Raw genomic sequence first — 23,762 nt, 5'->3', positions numbered from 1 at the left:
CAAAGCACTGAATCATGAATGTGAAAATAGGAAACTAGTCCGGAGATTACTAGAAATGACTGATTTCAGGCCAGTGACTTTCTACCATATTAGGCCTCATGACCTTTGGTTATTCAGGTTTGCAGGCTTCCATTTGACCTTGTAAGTTTCCAAAAGCAGAAGTAGTCTTGGCTTCTCTTTCTGGCAACTGGCATAACTTTCCTAAGAGACAATTTTATTTGAGGAAAGAAAAGAACTCTTATCTGAGAAATGCAAGTCCTTTTAATTATCAGGCCCAAAGAGAGATTAAAATGAGGCAGCAGTCACGTCCTCCTCCCTGCTTTGAGCTCTGTATTCCTCTCTTGGAACTGCTTGCTTTTGCCACCAGCAGCTGTAAATTAACTTAATAATGCCACACCCTACAGCTTAAGGATGTATAGCGAATCATTAATCAATGTTATTTCTGTAAAGCAGTAAGGATTCCTGACAAACCAGTTTGTATCAGCCCACTCCCTGTCCCCCATTTTTTGTCTTTATAAACCTACTTGTAACTGCTGCTAAATGGAATGTATATGGTGGCAACTTCAATCTTATGCTCCTGGGTTGCAATCTTAAGCTTGGCCCAAATAAACTCCATTGATACTAATTTTGCCTCAGCTTCCTCCTTCTAGGTCAACACATTTCTTGCTCTGAGCCACTCTCAAGGTGTTTTATTTTTTATTTCATTTTACTTTTTTTTGGAGACAGAGTCTCGCTGTATCCCCCAGGCTGGAGTTCAGTGGCACCATCTTGGCTCACTGCAACCTCTACCTCCAGGGTTCAAGCAATTCTCCTGCCTCAGCCTCCCAAGTAGCTGGGTTTACTGGCTCCTACCAATATGCCCAGCTAACTTTTGTATTTTTAGTAGAGGCGGGGTTTCGCCATGTTGGCCAGGCTGGTCTTCAACTCCTGACCTCAGGTGATCCACCCACCTTGGCCTCCCAAAGTGCTAGGATTACAGGTGTGAGCCACGGCGCCTGGCCATCTCAAGGTGTTTTAAAACTTAGGTTTCATTGCTATGCAGGTATAGTGAGGCCAAAAGATCAGGAGATGAAGGCACTTCAAAAGACAGCTTGTTACTCACAGTTGAGGGGGTGGTTACTCACAGTTATGGTTGGGGGAGTGGGGTAGAGGAACTCCATGCCACACAGGGCCACCTGGGGAAGCACCAGGTTGGTCGGGAGGCAGAGGGAGCAGGAAGAAAATGTGGGCTCTTGGGCTCTAGCCTGTATTGTGATTTCTGTGGGAAAGAATGAGTGAGGCAAGGTAAGCAGATTTAGCATTGGCTATTTGAATAATTTCGCTGGGCCCTGGGGTATAGAGGCTGTCCAGAGTTGTCTGGTTCCTGTCTCTCAGATGACTTGGGGCAGAGGAATATTGATTGGATGTCTGCGCGTGATAAAAGAAAGAGTTGAGGGCTCTGGGCTGTGGGTCGTCTGGTTTGCATATGAAAGGCGTGCTTCTGGGCCATGTTTGCTATTTCTAGGAGTGAGCTTTACCCTCTACAGTCAGTGAGGGCCAAATGCCAGAGCACCAAGAATATAGAAATAAGAAACTACAATTAATACACAAGGTACCAATGTAATATTGGGTTTTCATTGCATAACCCATTTATTCATTTATTTACTCTCACCGATTATTCTTTCTTTTCTCCAGTTATCAGTTAGTTTTATTTTTTTTTTATTTTTTATTTTGAGACAGAGTCTCACTATGTCACGCAGGCTGGAGTGCAGTGGCTCCATCTCGGCTCACTGCAACCTCTACCTCCCGGGTTCAAGCAATTCTCCTGCCTCAGGCTCCCGAGTAGCTGGGACTACAGGCACCCGACACCATGCCTGGCTAATTTTTGTACTTTTAGTAGAGACGGGGTTTCACCGTGTTAGCCAGGATGGTCTCGATACCCTGACCTCGTGATCTGCCTTGCCTTGGCCTCCCAAACTGCTGGGATTACAGGCATGAGCCACCACGCCCAGCCAGTTAGTTTTAATTTTCTACCTTCGGAAGGGATGTTAGGTGAGGCCCCCGTGCTGGTTCAGATTGCCAGAAGCAACACTAGTGTAGCAAGTGCCTCTCCGTCCATTCCCATGCCCATGGGGCAGGGTTACATAGGTACAGAACCAGTGGGCTGTCTCGACCACTAGGCAGTACAGCAGCATTCCCTGTCAATTCCAGCCTTGTCAGACAGGGTGAAGGTAAAATCTGCTTTACCAGTTTCTTAGAAATTGTGACATCAAAGTTTAAAAGTATAGTTACAGATTCTTGTTTCAGGGGCATTCCTGTTTGTGGCACCTGCAGTTGCAGCCATTGTCCCAGAACACGGCATCAGGTAGGAAAAAGGAAAGGTGAAGTGATGTGGGGAATAATTTAAAAAGCACTGTTGAACTGGTATCTTCTCACTGTGGGAAACATTGTATAGCCATACCAGCCTCCTCACCTACCTCCCCTTCTCCAGGTCCCCCAGAAAGGAGACGAATCGCGCAAGGGGAGATGTGCCCTTGGTACCCCTCATGTTCAGTGTGACCACACACTCAGAGGCATACGAGTTAGCTCTTCATGCTTTTCTGTCTCCTGGTGTTAAGTAACCCATGTTTCAACTGCCCATCCCAATTCTCTATGAACTTATTACTCTGAGAATAATAGCTCTATAAAATGTGTTCCATAGGCTGAAGAAATGTGACTCAATGGCTCAAATCAGTGAATTTATTAAGTTATAATAAATAAAAGTGTATGACTAACATGTTGAAAGAAATGTTAATGACTTCACTGAAAAAGACCCACATAAATGATGGCAACAGACTTAGATCTTGCCACATATTTTATTTAATGTTTTATCTGCCAGCACACACAGCTACAGATAAAACTTGGATGCAGTAAGATATAACGTCATGAAATCGTATGAAAAGGAAGACAGAAATTAGTCACATAAATGATACTCAACAATGGGTTGTATGATTAACTGGTTTAGAGTGGGTCTTAGGACTTTCAAAAAGAGTTGAAAAATAGGTAGAAAACTGAAGGAAAAAATGTAAATATATTTTGTGGGCAAAGCTATCGAGGTCGTAGGATTAAAGAAGATGGGGCTGGCCGGGGGCAGTGGCTCACGCCTGTAATCCCAGCTCTTTGGGAGGCCGAGGCGGGTGGATCACGAGGTCAGGAGATCGAGACCATCCTGGCTAACACGGTGAAACCCCGTCTCTACTAAAAATACAAAAATAAAATTAGCCGGGCATGGTGGCGGGCGCCTGTAGTCCCAGCTACTCCGGAGGCTGAGGCGGGAGAATGGTGTGAACCCAGGAGGCGGAGCTTGCAGTGAGCCGAGATCGCGCCACCGCACTCCAGCCAGCCTGGGCGACAGAGTGAGACTCCGTCTCAAAAAAAAGAAGAAGATGAGGCTGAACTGCCAAATACAATTATGTTGTGTTCCTTTTTCTAGGAAGTCTGTGGACAGTGATTTTTAAGTTAAACCAACAACACTGTGATTAATAATAATTGTCAGCAAGATCTTTTCTGCAGCATCATTGTATCTGATCTCTTCTCAATAAAAAAATTGTTTCCTACATCAGTTTCTCTTTATTTCTCCCTATCCTTCAGAGTGAAAATTTCTTCTTCCTCTCTTTCCAAGACAAGTCCTGCCACCGGAGCAATGTCACACTTTCTCCTCTCAGAATAATTTGTGATTTTTCAAATATTTATGGAATACCTACTATGGAGGTTTGTCACGTGCTGGGCACTGTGATAGGCACCTATGGATGGGATTCTGTGCTGCAAAGTAATGTACAGGATGTAGAGGGGAGAAAATCATTTACGTAAATAGCTGTAACCCAGAACAGAAAGGGGCAGCTGACATAAAGACACACAGAATGTGCGGGTTATAAGTGCCTGTTTATGGGGGCAGTTGCAGGAGCTGAGGTTTGATTATGGGCAAGATATGGACAAAGGCATGTTCTATGGCCATGCCATGAAAACAAAGGGGCAGAGGCGTGCATACAAATCTGGAGGCAGCTGCTCCAACTCCTAAATAGTGTAACCGAACAGCCCTGCCTGAAAAAGCACTTTAAAACTTCTTTCTCCTTTTTCCTTTCTTCCCAGTCTCAAGTTGAAACCTTGAAACAATCTCTAGAAATGTTTTTCCTTAGTCTTAAAATATAGCCTTGAAAGATACTTTGAAACCCTACTTCCTTCCGTTTCTCACCATGTTTTCCTTTACCCCAGGTGCATTTATCTAGCTGTATGCTTGTATACCCCACACACATTTATCTAGTTTATTTAAGCACGTAACGTATCTAATTATGTTCTTATTTAGAAGTTCCAGGGCCTAACGTTACGACAGACCAAGCGGCAGGGCGCCGTAGCTCATGCCTGTAATCCCAGCACTTTGGGAGGCCGAGGTGGGTGGATCACGAGGTCAGGAGATCGAGATCATCCTGGCTAACACGGTGAAACCCCGTTTCTACTAAAAATACAAAAAATTAGCCGGGCGTGGTGGCGGGCGCCTGTAGTCCCAGCTACTGGGGAGGCTGAGGCAGGAGAATGGCGTGAACCCGGGAGGCGGAGCTTGCAGTGAGCCGAGATCGCGCCACTGCACTCCAGCCTGGGCGACAGAGCAAGACTCCGTCTCAGAAAAAAAAAAAAAAAAAAAGACAGACCAAGCATGGAGACTCCGCTGCAAAATCCCAGTGATGACCTCAAGGTGGCTGTCAACAACTCGTCAATTGTTGAGATGACAGCAACCTGCCCTTCAAGTGGACCACAGCTTGAAATAGGCACCAGAACAAGACAGCAGACCTTGTGCAATGCACTCTCCCACGGGCCTCCCATTCCAATTTCCCCTTTTTAAGCCTTTCTCCCCAGCCTAAAGTTTTAAGAGGTTTCTGGAGGCGTAAGGTAAGCAGCCTGCTTCCCTGCTGCTAGCTTTGGAAACAAAGTAACTTTCCTTTCACTACAGACTTCCTCCTTGTTACTGACTTTGCAAGCTGTGGGCAGCTGAGTCTGCACTGGGTTACATCGGGGCGGGGGGGGTGGGGGGGTGGTGTGTGTGTGGGTGTGTGTGTCTCGTGTGTGTGTGTGTGTGTGTGTGTGTCTGAAACCAGTGTTTCTCAGCTTGATCATCAGGGTTGCTAAAAAATATTTGGTAGGAATGAAGTAGACTTTTAAAAGATGAAAGCATATATTAACTTAGATGCATCTTGTTTACCTCGATATCTTAACACCTCTCATGGTGCCCAGCATACAATAGGTTCTCAGCAAATGTATACAGAGAGTACATGGATGGATGGATGGGTGGATGGATGAATACAGAATTGAATAACTTAATATTCTTTTCACTAGATACATTTTTTAACAAAATACTTTCTCCTTTTACATAGGATTCTATTTATGTTTAATGAACAAAAAAATTAGTTTCAATGAAAACTTTATTTGAAATGATGAATTCAAGCTATTACCAGCCTCCCAAGTAAGATGCCAGAGACTTCAAACACTGCTGTTGTTTCTCAAGGAAAAGATCCAGTTAACAAGGAATCATTCTCTCTTCTTCAATAGCTGCTTACGGTAAATAAAATATCTTCCTCCTTTTAATATTTTACATAAGAGAACATTTTAAAATTGTATTAAAAAAAAAACATGAGAAAGAATGATAGCCTTAAGTGAGTTAAGTGAGTTTTCTCACTGCGCTTATAGCCCTTCCCAATTTTGTGTTCTGTATATTTAGGATGGCTGGTGGGTGGGAAGGCCAGGAGCCAGAGGTGTACCACAGCTGCTGTGCCTGCCAAAGAACAAGCAGGTGTTCTGGTTTTTTGTTCGTATTCTTTAAGGTCAGTGAACTGGCTGGTTTCCATTTCTCATCTTAGCCTACGTCGTTCTTAAAGGTTCTGTCTCACAAGGAAATTGTTCAAGAGCTTAACCAAGCAAGTGTGGCTATCGCAAGTGAAATGGAGAAATAGACCAGCATCCCTCATGAGCCAGGCTCAGTCCTCATTTTTACCATCAAATATTGACATTATGAATGTTATTGTTTCTCTATAAAGCATCTGCACAAATTCCATGTTTTAATATATTAGTTCGGTGTTTCTCATTATTTGGAAATCAGGCCTTTTTTGATAAGCATGTCAGAAAATAGCAGAATCAGAAACAATATCAGATATATCAAGAGCAGGAGAGTGACAATGGGCAGAGCTTCTTTCCAGGCTTTGGGAGTAGTTGACAATAGGCTAGCTGAAAGATTAAAAAAGAAAGTTAATGATGGGTCACCTTAAGGGAGCTGGTAAACTAGTTGTGAGGTAAAATAAAGAGGTCTGGGACCAGAGAAATAGCAGAAAGAATGGGACTGATCTAGGATAGAAGTAAAATCTAAATTAAAAGAAAAAACAAATTACGGCTCTGATTCCTTCTCTGGGGAGACTTCAATGTGTGCTTGTCAAAGTGAGTTTTTTTTTTTTTTCTGTTATAGATAGTTAAAAGTGCAGGGGAAAAGAGGTATCTTTTCCTCAGCCATTGCTAGGTTCATGGCTGAGGCCCCTATAACAAAAGACAAATTGACAAGAGAAAAGCATAAAACCTACTAATAAGTTTTACATGACATGACTTCATGAAAAATAAAGAACTAAAGAAGTAGAAAACCTGTGTATTGACCTGGCGCGGTGGCTCATGCTTGTAATCCCAGCACTTTGGGAGGCCGAGGTGGGCAGATCACAAGGTCAGGAGATCCAGACCATCCTGGCTAACACGGTGAAACCCTGTCTCTACTAAAAATACAAAAAATTAGCCGGGCGTGGTGGCGGGCGCCTGTAGTCCCAGCTACTCGGGAGGCTGAGGCAGGAGAATGGGCATGAACCCGGGAGGCGGAGCTTGCAGTGAGCCGAGATCGCGCCACTGCTCTCCAGCCTGGGTGACTGAGCAAGACTCCATCCCATAAACAAACAAACAAACAAACAAAAAAAAACGTGTATTTCTTATGCTACATTTGATGTACAGTCATGAAGAAATATAACTGGACAAGGTGGGTAGACCTCATGGTAACACACTGAAGGAAACTTAGCAAGGCTTTTGTGCAGGTTCTTCTCTGTGTCCCTGTGTCTTCGGAGATAAGGATGCTCCTTTCCTCTGGGTATAGGGAGAACCTCTCAAATAAGAGTCCTATGACCTGCTTCAGGAGAAGGTCAGAAAATCCATCCTAGGTTTTAGGACATGCTTTTAGGAAGGAGGATCAGGGACAGTCATAGAGTGATATTTCTTCTTCAGTTTCCTCAAATGTCAAGGTACCATATTTTATGGTAACATAACTGAACCCAATTAAAAGAAATTAGCATGTTACTTTTTGAGGGGGAAGGCTCTGACTGAGCTAACATGTTATGGGTTTTGTAGGGGTGAAAAAGCAATACCTTTTCCTCACCCATCACAAGGGTCATGGCTGACACCTTGATAACAAAAGACAGATTAACAAGAGAAAAGCATAAAAATTTATTTAACTGAAGTTTTGCATGGCACAGGAGGTTTCAGAAATGAAGATCTAGAGAAAAGCGTGTACTTGTATGCTTAGGTTTGATATAGAATAAACAGTCATGTAGAACTATGATTGGATGAAAGGGTGTGACGTAATGGTAATAAACTGGGGGGAACTTAGAAAGGTCTCTTGTTCAGATTCTCCTTGGCCTTTCTGAGTAGCATTCCTTCCCCCTGGGAATGGGGCAGGGCTCCTATGGAGTGAGGGTCTTACAACTTAATTTCAGGTGAGGAAGGTCAGAGAAATCGTTTATAACTATGTTTTACACAGAAAGGTGGGAGGAGGTCAGAGTGACTTTCTTGTTCTGCAGTTTCCTCGATTGCCAAGGCACCATATTTGGAGGTATCATGTTCTGGTCCCCAGCAAGTTATATGGGGTACTGTGCATTTGTTGCCCCTACATAGTTTTCAATATATGCTAATTCATGGGTGCGGCAGAGCATAGACCGTACATGCTCTGTTTCTGGGAACCTGTTGCTCAATCTCTAAAGTTGGCTCATTCATCTTGCATGTAAAATGAGAATATAAATCTCATTTAAAAAAAAAGTCTCGAGCTAAGAGATGATTCACGCATAAGATTCAGCACACTGTCTGGCACAGAGTAAGTGCTTTCCAAAATGAACATTATGTTAGATATAATTTCCAAAACACACACTCTTGTGTATTAAGTCATTGGCAAACATACCCAAGCTTCTTGGCTCACTGATATGATGGACTCTGCGATTCACATCCTGAGAAGGGTGTGGGCATCACATGCACAATGCGGCTCATCACAGAGGATTTTTCCAGAACATAAATGCTACACATCCCTCCCTATGAGAAGATTCACATTTCTTTCTTTTGAATGAGAGGAGAAATTCTACACAATAGAAATAGTAATTTGAATGAGAGAATATACCTTTGAATTCACAATTCAGGCAGACTGTATTCTTTGTCTTCTTGAAGACAAGAATAGTTCTTAATTTTTTTTTCTCAATTTTGAAGAGCATGAAGTTTAGGAAAAAAATATGTGTAAGTGGTCGTTGACAAGTGTTCTAACCCTCTTAAGATATTATTCATTGCCAAAATGGAAAGCGTTTAAGTGAATATCCTTCCCAAGGATTCTGAAATGCCCCCTGAGAAGAGGGCAACAATTGTTTTGGGGCTCTTTCTGTAAAGGGGAGTATGTGACAACAAGGAGGCTGGTCCTGTGTGCTTCCTATGGTGGCATGAGCATATGCATTCTCTAAAATATAATCATAGGTGTATATACACGTATATATGCATGTGTGTATTGTGTGTGTGTATTTCTCTACATATTCTTTTAAATATTGTTCTCAACTATATATAATATTCTATAATCCATTGTGGACCTCTACAAATAATCAGTTAAAGTGTTGCTTAATAGCTACATGATCACAAAGGTCAGAAACCCAGTCAGGACCAAATCATGTAGAGTCTTAGAGGCCACCACTAGGAATTTGTATGTCATTCAAAGTGGCCGGGGAGCATTTCAAGAGCTTTGAAGCATGGGAGTGATATGATCTGATTTACATTTTCAAAAGATCACTCTCGATGTTTGTAGGCGGAGTTGGGGGATATAAACTCCTCAGGGGGCCACTACATCCCACTACAGACGATGCTGGCTCAGAGCCCAGAGTCTGGTTTAGAGCTGGTGAGACATGGATTGTATTCAGAAGGTAGAACAGCTGTGAGGACCAGGAGAGAGGAAAGAGAAACAATGATAAGTTTCTGGCTTGAGGATTTGAGTAGATGGCCATTTCATTAACTGAGATAGAAAAGACAGGAGGATGAGCAGTCGGGGTTGGATCTGACTGGCTTTGCATTTCTGTGGGGCTGTTGGGGAGGGAACAACAGTGTCACCAGTGCTCTCTACCCACCTGTCACTCAAGGTGGCTGAGACGTCTTCTTGAACTTAATTTAGGCTCCTGCCTTTGTGCTTCTTGGGGTTAAATGTGTAGAAGCCCTTCGAACGTATTAAAAGGACGGTGCAAAGATTAGACAGGGCCTCTTTGGAGGCCCTGCCTGACTTGCATTAGCTTTGATTAGGCTGTGTTCATTGCCAAAGCTTGTGGCCACATGCTTATTATTCTGCATTTACTGAGGAAATAAGAACATGACAAGACGTTCTGAAGTCTCCGATGACTCCAGTTAAGGTTCTTTGAAATGCACGTGCTCTACTTTCTCTCCCGCTACCTGATGACTTTTTTCACAGTAGGCTGGAGAATAAGTTGGAAGAAGGCTTGGTCCCCTTGGCTTGGTGAGATCATGGTAAGCAGCAACTCTGACTGTTTGATGCTACACTGTGAAGAGCAGAACCTGAATTTTCAAAATGGAAAAGTTGCAGCAATTAAAAATTGTGCTGACAAGTTTTGTTTTTACAACAGTTGTCAGGGCTAGTGTTGATAAGGAAAACAATGACAGGATGAGTTGTGAATCTGCGCAGTGCTTTACTAGTGTTCAGGTGAGAGAGCTCCGTGGTCAAGGGAACTTTTAAGTTACAATATTTTCTTTATGGTTTCTAGCTTTCAGTATTATATCTACAAAGTCCACATGTAAGCCACAAGGATTTTTTTTTTTACTTTTACCTAGCTCTTTTATGTTTTAATTTTCACATTAATTCTTATGTGCTTCCAGGATTGGTTTTGAGGTGAGTTGTGACACAGGAGTCCAAACATAATGTTTTTTCTAAGTGGCCAGCAAATTATTTCAACACACAGTGTCTCCCTACGTTGTAAGTAGGTCCTGTGGGGCAGGAGCAATCTGTCATTTTCTTAGGGCCTAGCACAGCATGAAGTCTCAGATATTTGTTCGGTGAATGCCTGAATGAATCCGTGGAAGAGCTTCTTCCTCCTAGCACCTCATGGCTGCGTATGAACACTTATGACTTATAAATGCAAAGGTATACAGTAGCCTGGCAATTGACTCCCAGTTTAAAAAATAAGGCCAGAGGCAGTGGCTCATGCCTGTAATCCCAGCACTTTGGGAGGCTGAGGCAGGTAGATTGCCTGAGCTCAGGAGTTCGAGACCAGCCTAGGCAACATGGTGAAACCCTGTCTGTACTAAAAATACTAAATAAAAAAAATTAGCTGGGCATAGTGGCGGGTACTTGTAATCCCAGCTATCGGTTTCACTCGTGTCCACGTGAGGAGACCACCAAACAAGCTTTGTGTGAGCAACAAGGCTGTTTATTTCACCTGGGTGCAGGCGGGCTGAGTCCAAAAAGAGAGTCAGCGAAGGGAGATAGGAGTGGGGCCATTTTATAGGATTTAGGTAGGTAAAGGAAAATTACAGTCAAGAGGGGGTTGCTCTCTGGCGGGCAGAGGCAGGGGTCACAAGGTGCTCAGTGCGGGAGCTTTTGAGCCAGGATGAGCCAGGAGAAGGAATTTCACAAGGTAATGTCATCAGTTAAGGCAGGAACAGGCCATTTTCACTTCTTTTGTGATTCTTCAGTTACTTCAGGCCATCTGGATGTATATGTGCAGGTCACAGGGGATATGATGGCTTAGCTTGCGCTCAGAGGCCTGACACTCAGGAGGTTGACAGGAGAATCACTTGAACCCAGGAAGCAGAGGTTGCAGAGTGTGGAGATCGTGCCCTTGCACTCCAGCCTGGGCGACAGAGCAAGACTCCATCTCAAAAAAGAACAATATAATAAAAAATAAATCCCAGAATTATGTAAAGTGCTGATTTAAAAGGGTATTGTTTTACCATAGTCTCTAGGGCTCCTAGGATTTTTAAAGTGAAAATATAATCTAGAGTGACACAAAATTATTCTAAACTAAGTGAGAGACAGCATGGTGTTGTGAAAATATTTAAAATCATCAAACTGCATGTCTGTCATTTACTTCCTATGTGATCTTGATTTATTCATTATAATCAGTTTTCTTGTCTCTGCAGTGAGAGTAACAGCACCCACTTTTCAGAGTAGCTCTGAGTTTCAATGAGTTAACATCTGTAATTTACCTGAACGGTGCCTAGCAGGGAACAGACACTAAATTAATGTTTTTTCTTCTTCAACTCCTCCCTAAAGCCACATTCTAAAAATATATCCTTTCTTTCACGACTTGACAGCTTGAAACTCAAAAAAAAAAAAAAAAAAAAAAAAAAGATTGTATATCTTGTGTGAGTACTGATATGTGGGCAATTTTCCATCATCAGAGTGTGGAGTACTTTTTAAGACTGTCTTTTAATGAATCAGATACACTGATTACAAAAGGACTGGTTGATTGCAATCCAGTTATTTTCCATGAGTAACTTCAATAATACAACAAACACGTACACTTTTTTTTATTTTTTTGAGACAGAGTCTTGCTCTGTCACCCAGGCTGGAGTGCAGTGGCGTGATCTTGGCTCACTGTAAGCTAAGCTCCAATTCCCAGGTTCATGCCATTCTCCTGCCTCAGCCTCCCAAGCAGCTGGGAATACAGGCGACCACCACCACGCCCGGCTAATTTTTTGTATTTTTAGTACAGATGGGGTTTCACCATGTTAGCCAGGATGGTCTCAATCTCCTAACCTCATGATCCGCCCGCCTTGGCCTCCCAGAGTGCTGGGATTACAGGCGTGAGCCACCGCACCCAACCACAAGTACACTATTAACGAGCTAATGATGAGCTCTGCGTCAGGGCCAGGACTGAGGTGAGCAACTGCCTCATTTGCCTCGTGTGCAAAACTGAGAAGTCACCAAAAAATTCAGTCATTAAGATAAATAGTTAACATAATATTAAAATATCAAAATGAATGCAAAAAATTCATTATGAGCAAAATACCAACATTTCAAATGAAGACAAGCTCTGACAAGGCCAGGCTAGTGAGGAACTGATGCTCTCAGGTACCATGCTAAGCACTGCAGTGTATGCTAGATTAAAGCAGATGACATTGCTTTTTTTATTTAAATATTTTTATTTAAAAATGGTCACATATCTGCAATTTTATATTTTTCAACCTAAATATTTCCTTATTTAAACATATTTAATCTCTGCAGAAACCCTTCGTCTCAGGGATCATTTCATCATAAGACAGTAACTCCTTTAAACTAACTTCTAGTAAAAAATGAAGTAAACTTATAAACATATAGGAGACAGCTGACTATCAGCCTCTTAAGTGTTTGGAACAGAGGACTGAGGCCCAGGAGCTGAGGTTTCTCATCTCAGCATCTCTCCAAGTGGCCACCCCTTTTTCTTAGTGTCTCTGCAAAGAGGCTTTTCTGATTACTCCTTTGTATGAGTCTCCATCATGATGGCTCCTAAAGGGCAGCCTTGGTTCCAGGAGTCTTTTTCCAGGGCCTACTTCAGCATCTCCCATTGAATAACCCATTTGTGGTGTCTCAGGTCAATTCCTGGAAAGGCAATGTGAGAGGCCAAGGCTACAAGGTGCCTCAATTCCTCCTGGTCAGGGTCCACTTTGGTTCTTCGGTACAGGAATGGGGGCTTCATGTTTAAAAAAAGAAAACCAGGACACAGGCCTGAATTGTCTAACGTCAATCAATAGGAAATCGGGAAGAAATGAGCTTGGTCAGACAGCTGGGTAGATAGGGACTGGAACTCATTCTCATCTTATATTTAAGGAAAGAGAAAAGCAGAGTTCAGTAGCTTGCTGAAGTCACGGAGAAAAAATGGATTTGGGATGTGATGGGAGTCTAGTTTCTGTGTGACCTTCAGTGAGTTAATTAATAGTCTGACATCTTTGTAAACCAAAAATAAAATTCTTAGCCTCCAACCGACTAAAATGGACCCCTCTGTTAGCCAAGGGGGCCCAAAGAAACCTGAAAAGCTAGGTCAGGCCAGGACAGGAGGAGTTCAGGCACAAGCCACCAATATTAACACTGAAACAGAGATCATAACACTGACAAAACACAACCTTTGTAACAAGATACCACATTTCAACCCAACTCTAGTATAATATTACATGACAGATAAAGAAGGAAATCAAAATATTTTATCCCAAAATATGTCTCTTTGCCATATTTTGAAATGGCCCTGCAGAGCCATCTTTTGTGGGGCAAGATTTGCATCTATAAAGAATCTCCAGCTGGGCACAGTGGCTCAGGCCTGTAATCCCAACACTTTGGAAGGCTGAGGTGGGTGGATCACTTGAGGCCGGGAGTTCGAGGCCAGCCTGGCCAACATGGTGAAACCCTGTCTCTACTAAAAATACAGAAATTAGCCTGGCATGGTGGTGCCCCAGCTACTTGGGAGGTTGATGTGGGAGAATTGCTTGAACCCAGGAGGCAGAGGTTGCAGTGAGTCGAGATCACGCCACCGCACTCCACCCTGGACAACAGAGTGAGACCCTGTCTCAGAAAAAAAAAAAAGAACATCTATTAACATAGCTAGATCTTTCCCCTCCCAGGCCTTCCCAATCCTGAAGAGATTAACTGAGGGTCTAGCACCTTTTAAAGATCTGAATAGGAAATATTTACCATCTATTTTTCTCTAAGGGTGGCCACCTATTAGACCTCATCTACATAAGAAGAACCTTAGTCTCCACAACCCCTTATCTTAATCCAGACACTCCTTTCTATTGATTCTAAACCTTTGGATGGTAACTTAACCCTTTCAACCAATTGCCAATCAGAAAAACCTTTGAATCCACCTATGACCTGTAAGCCCCAACCACCTCCCACCCCCACCGCCACTTTGAGTTGTCCCGCCTTTCTGGACCGAACCAATGTATAACTTACATGTATTGATTGATGTCTTATGTCTTCCTAAATAATAAAACCAAGCTGTAGCCCGACTCCCTTGGGCACATGTTCTCAGGAGCTCTTGAGACTGTGCCTTGAGCCATGGTCACTCATATTTGGCCCAGAATTGCTGAGACCGGCTCGGTCAGGGAGACCCTAACCCAGCTGAGCTAGAGGAATTAAAGACACACACACAGAAATATAGAGGTGGGAAATCAGGGGTCTCACAGCCTTCAGAGCTGAGAGCCCCGAACAGAGATTTACCCACGTATTTATTAACATCAAGCCAGTCATTAGCATTGTTTCTACAGATATTAAATTAACTAAAAGAATCCCTTATGGGAAAGGAAGGGATGGGCCGAATTAAAGGAAGAGGTTGGGCTAGTTAACTGCAGCAGGAGCATGTCCTTAAGGCACAGATCGCTCATGCTATTGTTTGTGGCTTAAGAATGCCTTTAAGTGGTTTTCTGCCCTGGGCGGGGCAAGTGTTCCTTGCCCTCATTCCCATAAACCCACAACCTTCCAGCATGGGCATTATGGCCATCATGAACATGTCACGGTGCTGCAGAGATCCTGTTTATGGCCAGTTTTGGGGCCAGTTTATGACCAGATTTTGGGGGGCTTGTTCCCAACACAAAATAAACTTCTTTAAATATTCTACAGAGTTTGGCTTTTTTCACCAACACCTCCATTTTCCTATAAAATGTGATAAAAATACTTCTTGAACCCCATGTATATGGAGAATAGATTTTTCAACAAAAGCACCAAAGCAGTCCAGTGGAGAAAGGAGAGCCGTGTGACAAATGGTACTGGGACTTTTAGATATACAAAAAAAAATGAACTTTGGTCCTTACCTTGCATTATATGTAAACATGAACTCAGAATGGTTCATAGACCTAAATGTAAAAGTTAAAACTATAAAACTTCTAGAATGAAACAGAAGCAAGTCTCTGTGACCTCGGGTTAGTCAAATATTTCTTGGCTAAGGCAACGAAAGCACAATCTGTAAAATAACAAATTAATAAATTGGATTTCAAAAGACACCGAAACAAAAATGAAAAGCCTTGCTACTGACTTGGAGAAAACATTTGCAAATCCCATACCCAGATGTATTTTCTGTGCCCAGTTAGTGATTTTATAAAGGGATACCAAGGCAGCATGGCCCAGTGGCTGAGACAATTCTGAAGCCAGACACCTGGGATTTGATCCCTGCCCTGCCACTTACCACTTATTAAGCACGTGACTTGAAGAAAGTCTCCTAATCTCTATGGCTTTCCTTTTCCCATTTAAAAATGGATAAAATAGTAATATCTAAACCTCTTCATTGGTTTCTATAAAGGTGAATTAATATTCTAAAGTGCATAGATCAATGTCTAGCACATAGTAGCCAAGACAGGTTTGTTAAATACATAAAACCAAGCAGGAGGAAGCCTGTCCCTACCATCCTCCTAGTGCTGGTACATTTTTCTCACCTTTCTTAATCTTGGGGGAGAATTGATTTTCTCATTCTGTCTTATTTAACATTTGAGCTCAATGTCTAACCTATAACTTTATATATGATTTATTTCCGTATACTTCTCATTTTATTTTTAAAAAACCCTATGATTTGATTTCAAAAGAAGTAAAAACAAATTAAATCTTGTTGACCTAAAACTTGCTTCTGCAACATCCCCACTGGGAATGATAATATAAATGCTTGTGCCTTGAGATGAGAATGTCATTGTTTGTTCCTTACTGTTGTATAGCCTGAAGATTAAATAAGTAAAATAAAAGTGGAATTAAGAAATATATCTTGTCTACTAGTCAAAGCAGTTCAGAAACTGTATTTCACTGTTACATCTAGATAGTTGAATTGTGTGCCTTTAAGCTATGAAATTTGGTTAAATTAACTTTAATGAAAAAAATCGGAATGCAATTCCATTTTTATGTTCTTCTTTAAATATGGTAAAATGTATTAATACAGCATTGAGATAACTTTGACCTATTAGAATGCAAATGACTCTAGATTGATCTAATGCCTCACATTTAGGGCTGGTTTTAAAGGTCTCTATGATTCCCATTTACAAATGAAACTTATTAATATGAGTTATAGATTCTTTTCCATTGTGTGCCAAGCAAGGAGAGAATCAAGCTTATTTGAATCATGCAGGCACATAGACTTTGGAATGATTAGGAGACCATGGCAAAAATTGTGAGTAATACATGTAGAGAAGTTTAAACTTTTCCTCTGGAGGTGTGATAACTGAGTTATCCTGCCAAAATACATTGACAATAGATAGATTAACAGGAGAAAAACACACACAGATTTGCTAATATGTACATGAAAATGCGAGCCCTATAAATATGAGACTCAAAGAAGGGCCAGACAGCTGAGGCTTAAATAGCATTCTTTTTGTAGGGAAGAGGGGAGATTAGTGTGCAGGTAATTTTGAGGAATAGTAAAATGCTTTTCAGGAGAACTGAATGGGCCTGGGAGACAGAAATTAGTTTATAAATTATTCTCTTTGGAATTTGAACAGGACAAGTTATGGGAAGGTGAGGGGTGGAATTGCACTGAACAAAGGCTGTCACTATGCAGATAAAGTCTCTTAGGCAACCTCTTGCAGCTGCCCTCAGAAGAACAGATGAAAAACCTGACTGGGCATGGTGATCATTTTAGTCTTCTCTAGAAGGTATCAAAATCTTCTTATTTTGCCCCTTGCCAAGTACTTGTGAAGGGGTAGGCACTGGTTATGGCATGTGGAGTGTTATGGTATGGTGAGGAGCTGGATAGCAAGGGGGCTGAACATGTACTGATTTGATTAGCTTCATCTCTAAAGAGTCGTGTCTCAGATGGAGCAGCTTGCACTCAAGGTACTATGAAAATGAAGAGGTTATAAAAGTATTCTAAGGGTCTCTAAGCCTTGTCAGTCTCTGTTTTCTTTATGACAACCTATGGGTTGTTAAGTAGTTGGGATGGGGTCAGTATATGGGCAGAGGGAGGTGCCCTGGTGGAAGTACTAGATAGAGGATTTGGTATTGCATCTAGGATGCTAGAGTTCTTAGAGGTTAAAGGATTTTAATTTACCTAATAAAACCTCAAAGTTTAATTTACTCAACATTTAACCAACAGATGTCTTCTATGCTGAACTAAGAAGCCTAAACTTTTCTCTGAAAGCAGTAAGAAGCCTTGTAGGGATTTTAAAGTAAAGGTGACAGGGTTAGATTTAAATTTTAAAAGATTGCTATGAAGGAAATGTGAGAGGGAATCAAAAAAATAGAAGCAGGGAGATCATTAAATTTTGTTACAATAGCGAAGGTGAGAAGTCATGATGATATGAATTCAAGAATTAAAGAGTTTTTAAGAAAATGGGTTCACAGAACTTAATTGTGGCAGGAGGGCATAGGTGTGGGGGGGTGGTAAGAAGGAAGTGTCAGGAGGGAATGATGCTGCTAGGCATTGGGAGGGGGAGCTCAGGGGCAGGAAGAGGATTTGGAAGAATGATGGATAGAATTGACAGGCTGAATCTTAGGTGTCTGAGAAAAATCCAAGTGGAAACAATTCAGAAGATGCATGAATATTCAAGTATGGGCGTGGAAGAAAAGTCTGGACTAGAAATATATATTTAAAAGTAAATAGGGCGGCCAGTTGCGGTGGCTCATTCCTTTATTTCCAGCACTTTGGGAGGCTGAGGCGGGCGGATCACGAGGTCAGGAGATCGAGACCATCCTGGCCAGTACGCTGAAACCCTGTCTCTATTAAAAATACAAAAATTAGCTGGGCATGGTGGCATGCACCTGTAATCCCAGCTACTTGCGAGGCTGAGGCAGGAGAATCTCTGGAATCTGGGAGTTGGAGGTTGCAGTGAGTCAAGATCGCCACTGCACTCCAGCCTGGCAACAAAGCAAGACTCCGTCTCAAAAAAAAAAAAAGTACAGGGTATGAGTGATAGTTAAAGTCACGCCTGTGAATTGGTGGAAAGATGTGAAACAGCCAACTCAGGGTCCGAAACGAAATAAGACAGACTCATGTTTCCTGACTTTACTATAACATTGCCTATTGCATCTTCAAGCACGAAGGGGAAAATATATATTTTTTATGGAGATACTTTGATCTTTCAAATTCTGGACCTGGGATGTGAAATGGCCATGGCCTTAGTTATTTTAACTGGCTAACTCATAGAATCCCTTTTCTGTGTTCCACAAATGTGCCACATTTTGTGCTATTCATATTCCTGTATCTAGTATATCCTCTTTCATTAATCTATTTTAGTGCAGTAATAGTTATATTTTCAGATCTAAGAACTAATTGCTTGACTTTGTTAATGGATAAAACAAACTGTAATATATTTTAAAGAGGTTTATTCTGAACCAATATGAGTGACTGAGGCCTGGAGAAAACACGCAACCAAGAAGGCTTGAGTAAGTGGTTCCGAGGTGGCCGGGTTGGTTTGGTTTTATACATTTCAGGGAGGCAGGAGTTACGGGCAAAGACATCAACACATGGAAGGTATACACTGGTTCGGTTCAGAAAGGGGGATTATCTTCAGGAGAGGTCTTATAGGTTGTAGGTGGACTTGGGGATTCTCTGGTTTGTGATTGGTTAAAGGAGTAAGGCCCTGTCTACAGCTTAGAGTTGACAGAAAGGAAGGTAAGAATGCTCTGTCAGAGTCAGCCACAATAAAATGCCCTGGTTAGCAAGCCTGATGGCCTGCAGGCCTGACTTACACCTGCCTTGCATGGCCTTAGGGTTTGTTCATAATTTGTTATCTTATGGCCACACGGGGTCTGTTCTGTCAGTCTTAGGATCTCTATTTTAACACCGCTGCTGGTTACTTGTTGAGTCCAAACTCCAAAACAGAGGAGGTATGATAAGGTGTGTCTGACCTCCCTTTCTTTCAGGGCCAGAAACAGCTTTTCAGTTTTCTCTGGGGTCCTCTTGGCCAAGAAGTTTCTGTTCAGTTGGTTGGGGGGCTTAGAATTTTATACTTAGTTTACAACCTAGCGTTGGTCTATATTATATGCTCAGGAAAGTTTCTGAAATAGCCCTGGACTGGTTGGGTGATCTGGGATATGGAAAATGGGCCTGTGTCCTGAATGATGCACTTGAAAATGGAATATAAGACTCCGTAAAACTCAAAGCATCCATGAACACAAAATTCAATTGAGTTGATTTGCCGCAGGCTTTCTCCACTGCTAACAGTTACAATTCAATCTCAGTTATACATGGTGTCCAAAAGAAGCACATTGTGGTGACCAGCAGAAACCAAGTTTTGCTTGAAGAATAAAGGTTGCAATTTTGCAAAGGTCATGTGTTATATAAATTTTCAGTAAGATGAGATAGTTTTAAATATTTATGGCATGGACCTAAAATACACTTGCACTCTTTAGGATGAAGGAATCTATTATTTTGTTGGTAAGTGAGGAATTTAAATGGCCACTAATTTCTTGCACGAATAGCTCTGCACGTTTTTCTCCATGTGTTTGTAGCGTGTACCTTTATCGGTCAAGCAACACTGAGGGGTATTCTGTGAGCACATCTTTAGAATGATACATTAAAATTCTAGTAAATCTTAAGGCCTAGATGATATAAACTCTGAAGTCATCTTGCTCAACAGAAATTATCAATAAACCGTTTTATAGTTCACTAAAAATAAAGAAGAGTTAATAATCTTGACATTTTTATTCCTGCAAGTTGAAAAAGTTTGTGTGTTTTTTCTCAATCTACTAAAGATCTAAATTATTTTGATATAGTTTCAGACTTACTTTGTAACTGAAAGTGATTTTTCTCATTTTTGTTGATAGAAATAAAAACATCAGTAGGAGGGGAAGGAGGAAGGAAGGAGAAGAAAGAGGAAGAATAGGAGGAGAAGAGGAAGAGAGGAAGAAGTGAACAGCCCTCCTGCATTTTGCATCAGGTAGAAAAGTCAGTTGAATGTTGGGAAGAACACAAATAGTAAGTACATAGATTTTCATGTAATAAAAATACCCATTGTTATCAATGCAGGAATGTGCATTTTTTGAGTCACCATAAGATGACAGAGAGCCCCTGGGGCCACCCTTTGGTGTCTCCCAGCTTCCGATGGCAGTCAAGCTTGTAGCAGAGGGACCTGCGTCCCATGTGCCCCTCATCTCCACACTGCCCTAGGCTTGGCTAAGGGAACGGTTGTTCTTCATGTTCCCAAGGGCAACTGTGCAAATGTTCCACTTGCCCTTCAGCATGGGGTGATTCTCCTACGCACAGAAGCAAACACAGTGGTTTAAAACAGGGATAACTCAGTAGATTACCCCTGATCCGTCCAACTGTGCTTTATCGTTATCTTGTTACAGTTTCTGGGTGGAGCCTATTTTTCCAGCTTTTGGCTGCTCTGAGCCGAAGGATGGTAGTAGGGCAGGAGAAGGGGAATTGAATTAATATTTATCGAGGGCCTGACACGAGCCCAGCACTGTGAAGACACCCTCTACACCTGTTATCTTACTAAATCCTCAGTTCAATCCTTTGGGACAAGTGTCACGCTGTGTGCAAATGAGGAAACTAAAACTCATTAAAAATAAGCGACATGCGCAGATCATGTAGATAATATAGAGTAAGGGTTTAAACTCTGGACTCTTTGGGACCAGTACCCATCCTCTTAACTGTTCCACACTTTCTTCCATGTAATGTAGAAATATTTGATTTATTAATAATGTATTCCTTTACAACTTCTGAATGGGATCTGAGATAAATGTATTCATATGCCCTATATATGATAGTTAAGTATAAGGTGAAAATAGGGAACCATTTAGACAAAAGAGAAGATGATTACGTATGAGGCTAACATAGTAAGATCATGAAAATTAAGTTTAGTTTCTCTTCTCCGATTAGACAAGAGGAAGGGAGGTGTGGCAGGTCCCTGGCTTTCCCCATTTCTCAGGGCAGACCTTGGGTTGTGATCTGATCTCATGTGGTTCTCCAAGACCTTCAGGGAAGACTTTGTTCTGTTTTGTTAAGTTTGAGGTTATTTCTTAATTTGTTTGTCATTTTGCTGATTAAGAAGCATAACAGAAATTTATTCTGCAGAAAAGGAAACTGATTAAGAAAACGCAGTGCTTTTATCAGGGACTTTCCAGGATAGATGAATAGATACTGTATATTTATTATTTCAACTCGTGAAAAAAAATCAAGGACATGTTATTAAATTGTAGTTTCTTGAAAATCTTTTAACAGTAAATAAATCTAATGCAGACCAAGTACTTTGCCATTCAGTGGTCTAACAATAAAAAGAGACAACCTAAAGAATATCTGGCTTGTGTGTTCCTTAGGTCAACATGTGTAAATAACTAGCAGGTTGGAGGCATTATGTTTCACTTCCACGCAACCTGTTGCATTTTGCAGGGGTCAATGATTTAGGCACCAATGCCCCTGTGTTTTTTAAAGGGACAAAATACAACCACAATTTCCCTGAACTATGGATTTTAGACTCTAGTTACATATGGGCTAATTTAAATATTCCAAGTAAAGCATATAAGAAAATATAGTCAAAATAGCATGATAATAATTTGACAAGTAAACATTATCGCACTTTCTAAAGCATCCATCTGTATGACAAATTATATGGTCCACCCTATTTATCAGGTCCACCCTAATAACAACCCTCTCTTGAAGGATTATATTACCCTGGTCTTTCAAATGAGGAAATTAACAGTATTGAGATCCCAACCAAAAGGTCTGGCTTCAGAGCTGGCGTGCTTAGTCACTGTACTGTATGGCCACTCTGCATTCTAGTTTTATTATTATGATCTGGTTGTAAGTGAGTTTACAAGAGACAAGGGGAGAAGAGTAGGCATAAAATAGAAGCCACGATCTAGAATCACTCATTCAAAATATATAGTTACTATTTCCCCCTTTCCACAGTCACTTAGAAGGCACTCCTGATACATTTTAAACCTAAGTCTTAGAATAGTATTAGATTCCTGAGAAAATGACAGCTTTTCCTCTTTGATAAAAAGTCTTGTATTAATTACGTGTCCCCTTTGCTTTGACTGTTATAATAAAGTCTTATATCTTAAAGACGTCCACAATGCCAGCCCTCCACAAGTCTCACCTTCAGCATTTTCTTACTATTCCAGTTTACATTATTTCCTGCTCCTAATTTTTAAGCTTAAATTATTTAGCCATTTTTATGTGGTTATCCATCTGGTCAAGTGACTTGGAAATGGGGCAACAAAATAGAATGATAGATTGGTTTGCATAGGAAAACAGACAGAAAAGGAACGACAGCAATACAGGACCAGATGGATGCTTCCCAGAAGCAAAGAACAGGGGCCTGCGCTTACAGGAGTATGTGGGCACTGATGGATGAGGTTCTTTATGCCTTCTGAAAGAGGAGCCAAGCCACTGATGAGTGAGGTGACTAAGAGCTCTCATGCTCTTAGTGAGCTAAGGTCCACCTGCTGCTAAGATTACCTCAAAATACTAAGCTTAAGGTAAAACTCCAGTTTTAGAATCATTTAAAAAATAATTTGGTTAAGGATGAGCTGTGAAATAATTAATTCAAATGCTGCTAACTGAGCACTTCAGTTAGTGCTCCTCAAAGCTGTGAGAAATAGGCTTATGCTCAGTTCCTCCTGGGTGCTGTAAAAGGAACATAAAATCTCTGGACCCCAAACTCACTAAGCTGAAGGGAACAGTCAAGCTGAGAACTGGGTCATGCCAACCAGCCTCCCATTTTGTTCCTAAATAAGACAGCTACAGATCTAAAAGGGTACATGCCTCTCTCACAATTTGCTCAAAACGAAATTCTTTGTGGGTCCCAAGATCTTTACCCTAAAACAGTTCTGTTGAATTTCACCCAGAAAATGCAAGAGAACAGCTATCTTCACAGATCCCGGAACAAAGGACAAAGGATAGAACTAAAAGCGCCCCCCACCCGCCGCCCGGCACCAAAGGAGTCATATCTGATTACTTCCTTTGGAAAGGCTAATCAGAAACTGAAAAGAATGTAACTGTTTGTGTCTCACCTATCTGTGACCTGGAAGCTCCCTCCCAGCTTTGAGTCTTCCTGCCTTTGCTTCCAGTTGTTCTGCCTTTCCAGACCCAACCAATGTACTTCTTATATCTATTGATTGATGTCTCATGTCTCCCTAAATGTAAAAATCAAGCTGTGCCCCAACTGCCTTGGGCACATGCTATCAGGACCTCCTGAGGCTGTGTCATGGATGCGTCCTCAACCTTGGCAAAATAAACTTTCTAAATTAACTGAGACCTGTCTCAGATTTTCTGGGTTCACAAATGCATATCTGATTACTTCCTCTACTTTATGTTTATTTTATCTTATGTAAAAATGCAGATTCACTGAGTGTGAGATGAATGCATAATTGACTATTTCTCTACCCCTTCCTTTGACATGTGAAATGTGGATTCAGTGCACACTGATCAAAGACTCAACAGAATGCAACTGCCTGCCCCTTTTATCTACCCTCCCCCTTTTTTCTTTTCTTCCTCTTTCTCCTACTGCCTGCTCTTTCCCATTAAATACTAAAATTCGCAGGCCCTCTTCGGAAAAAGCATGGATCACAGATTGTTCTTGTGGTTTTG

The 23,762-nt window shown here is 41.5% G+C and overlaps 1 long non-coding RNA gene across 2 annotated transcripts; it reads left to right on the top strand.

Moving 5' to 3' along the window:
• Window positions 1-4,708: 4,708 nt before the first annotated feature.
• LOC101927602 (uncharacterized) lies at window positions 4,709-23,396 on the top strand. 2 transcript variants are annotated; one of them, XR_246689.4, is made up of 4 exons: window positions 4,709-4,902; window positions 5,385-5,568; window positions 19,991-20,141; window positions 23,021-23,396. It is a non-coding gene; the product is annotated as an uncharacterized LOC101927602 (long non-coding RNA). The 2 variants fall into 2 exon arrangements; XR_001746690.1 differs by lacking the exons at window positions 19,991-20,141; window positions 23,021-23,396 and adding an exon at window positions 5,729-5,809.
• The last annotated feature ends 366 nt before the right edge of the window (window positions 23,397-23,762 follow it).

Source organism: Homo sapiens, chromosome 9, assembly GCF_000001405.40.
Source record: "Homo sapiens chromosome 9, GRCh38.p14 Primary Assembly".
Lineage (NCBI taxonomy): Eukaryota > Metazoa > Chordata > Mammalia > Primates > Hominidae > Homo > Homo sapiens.
This window is presented reverse-complemented; position numbering and strand designations above follow the sequence as displayed.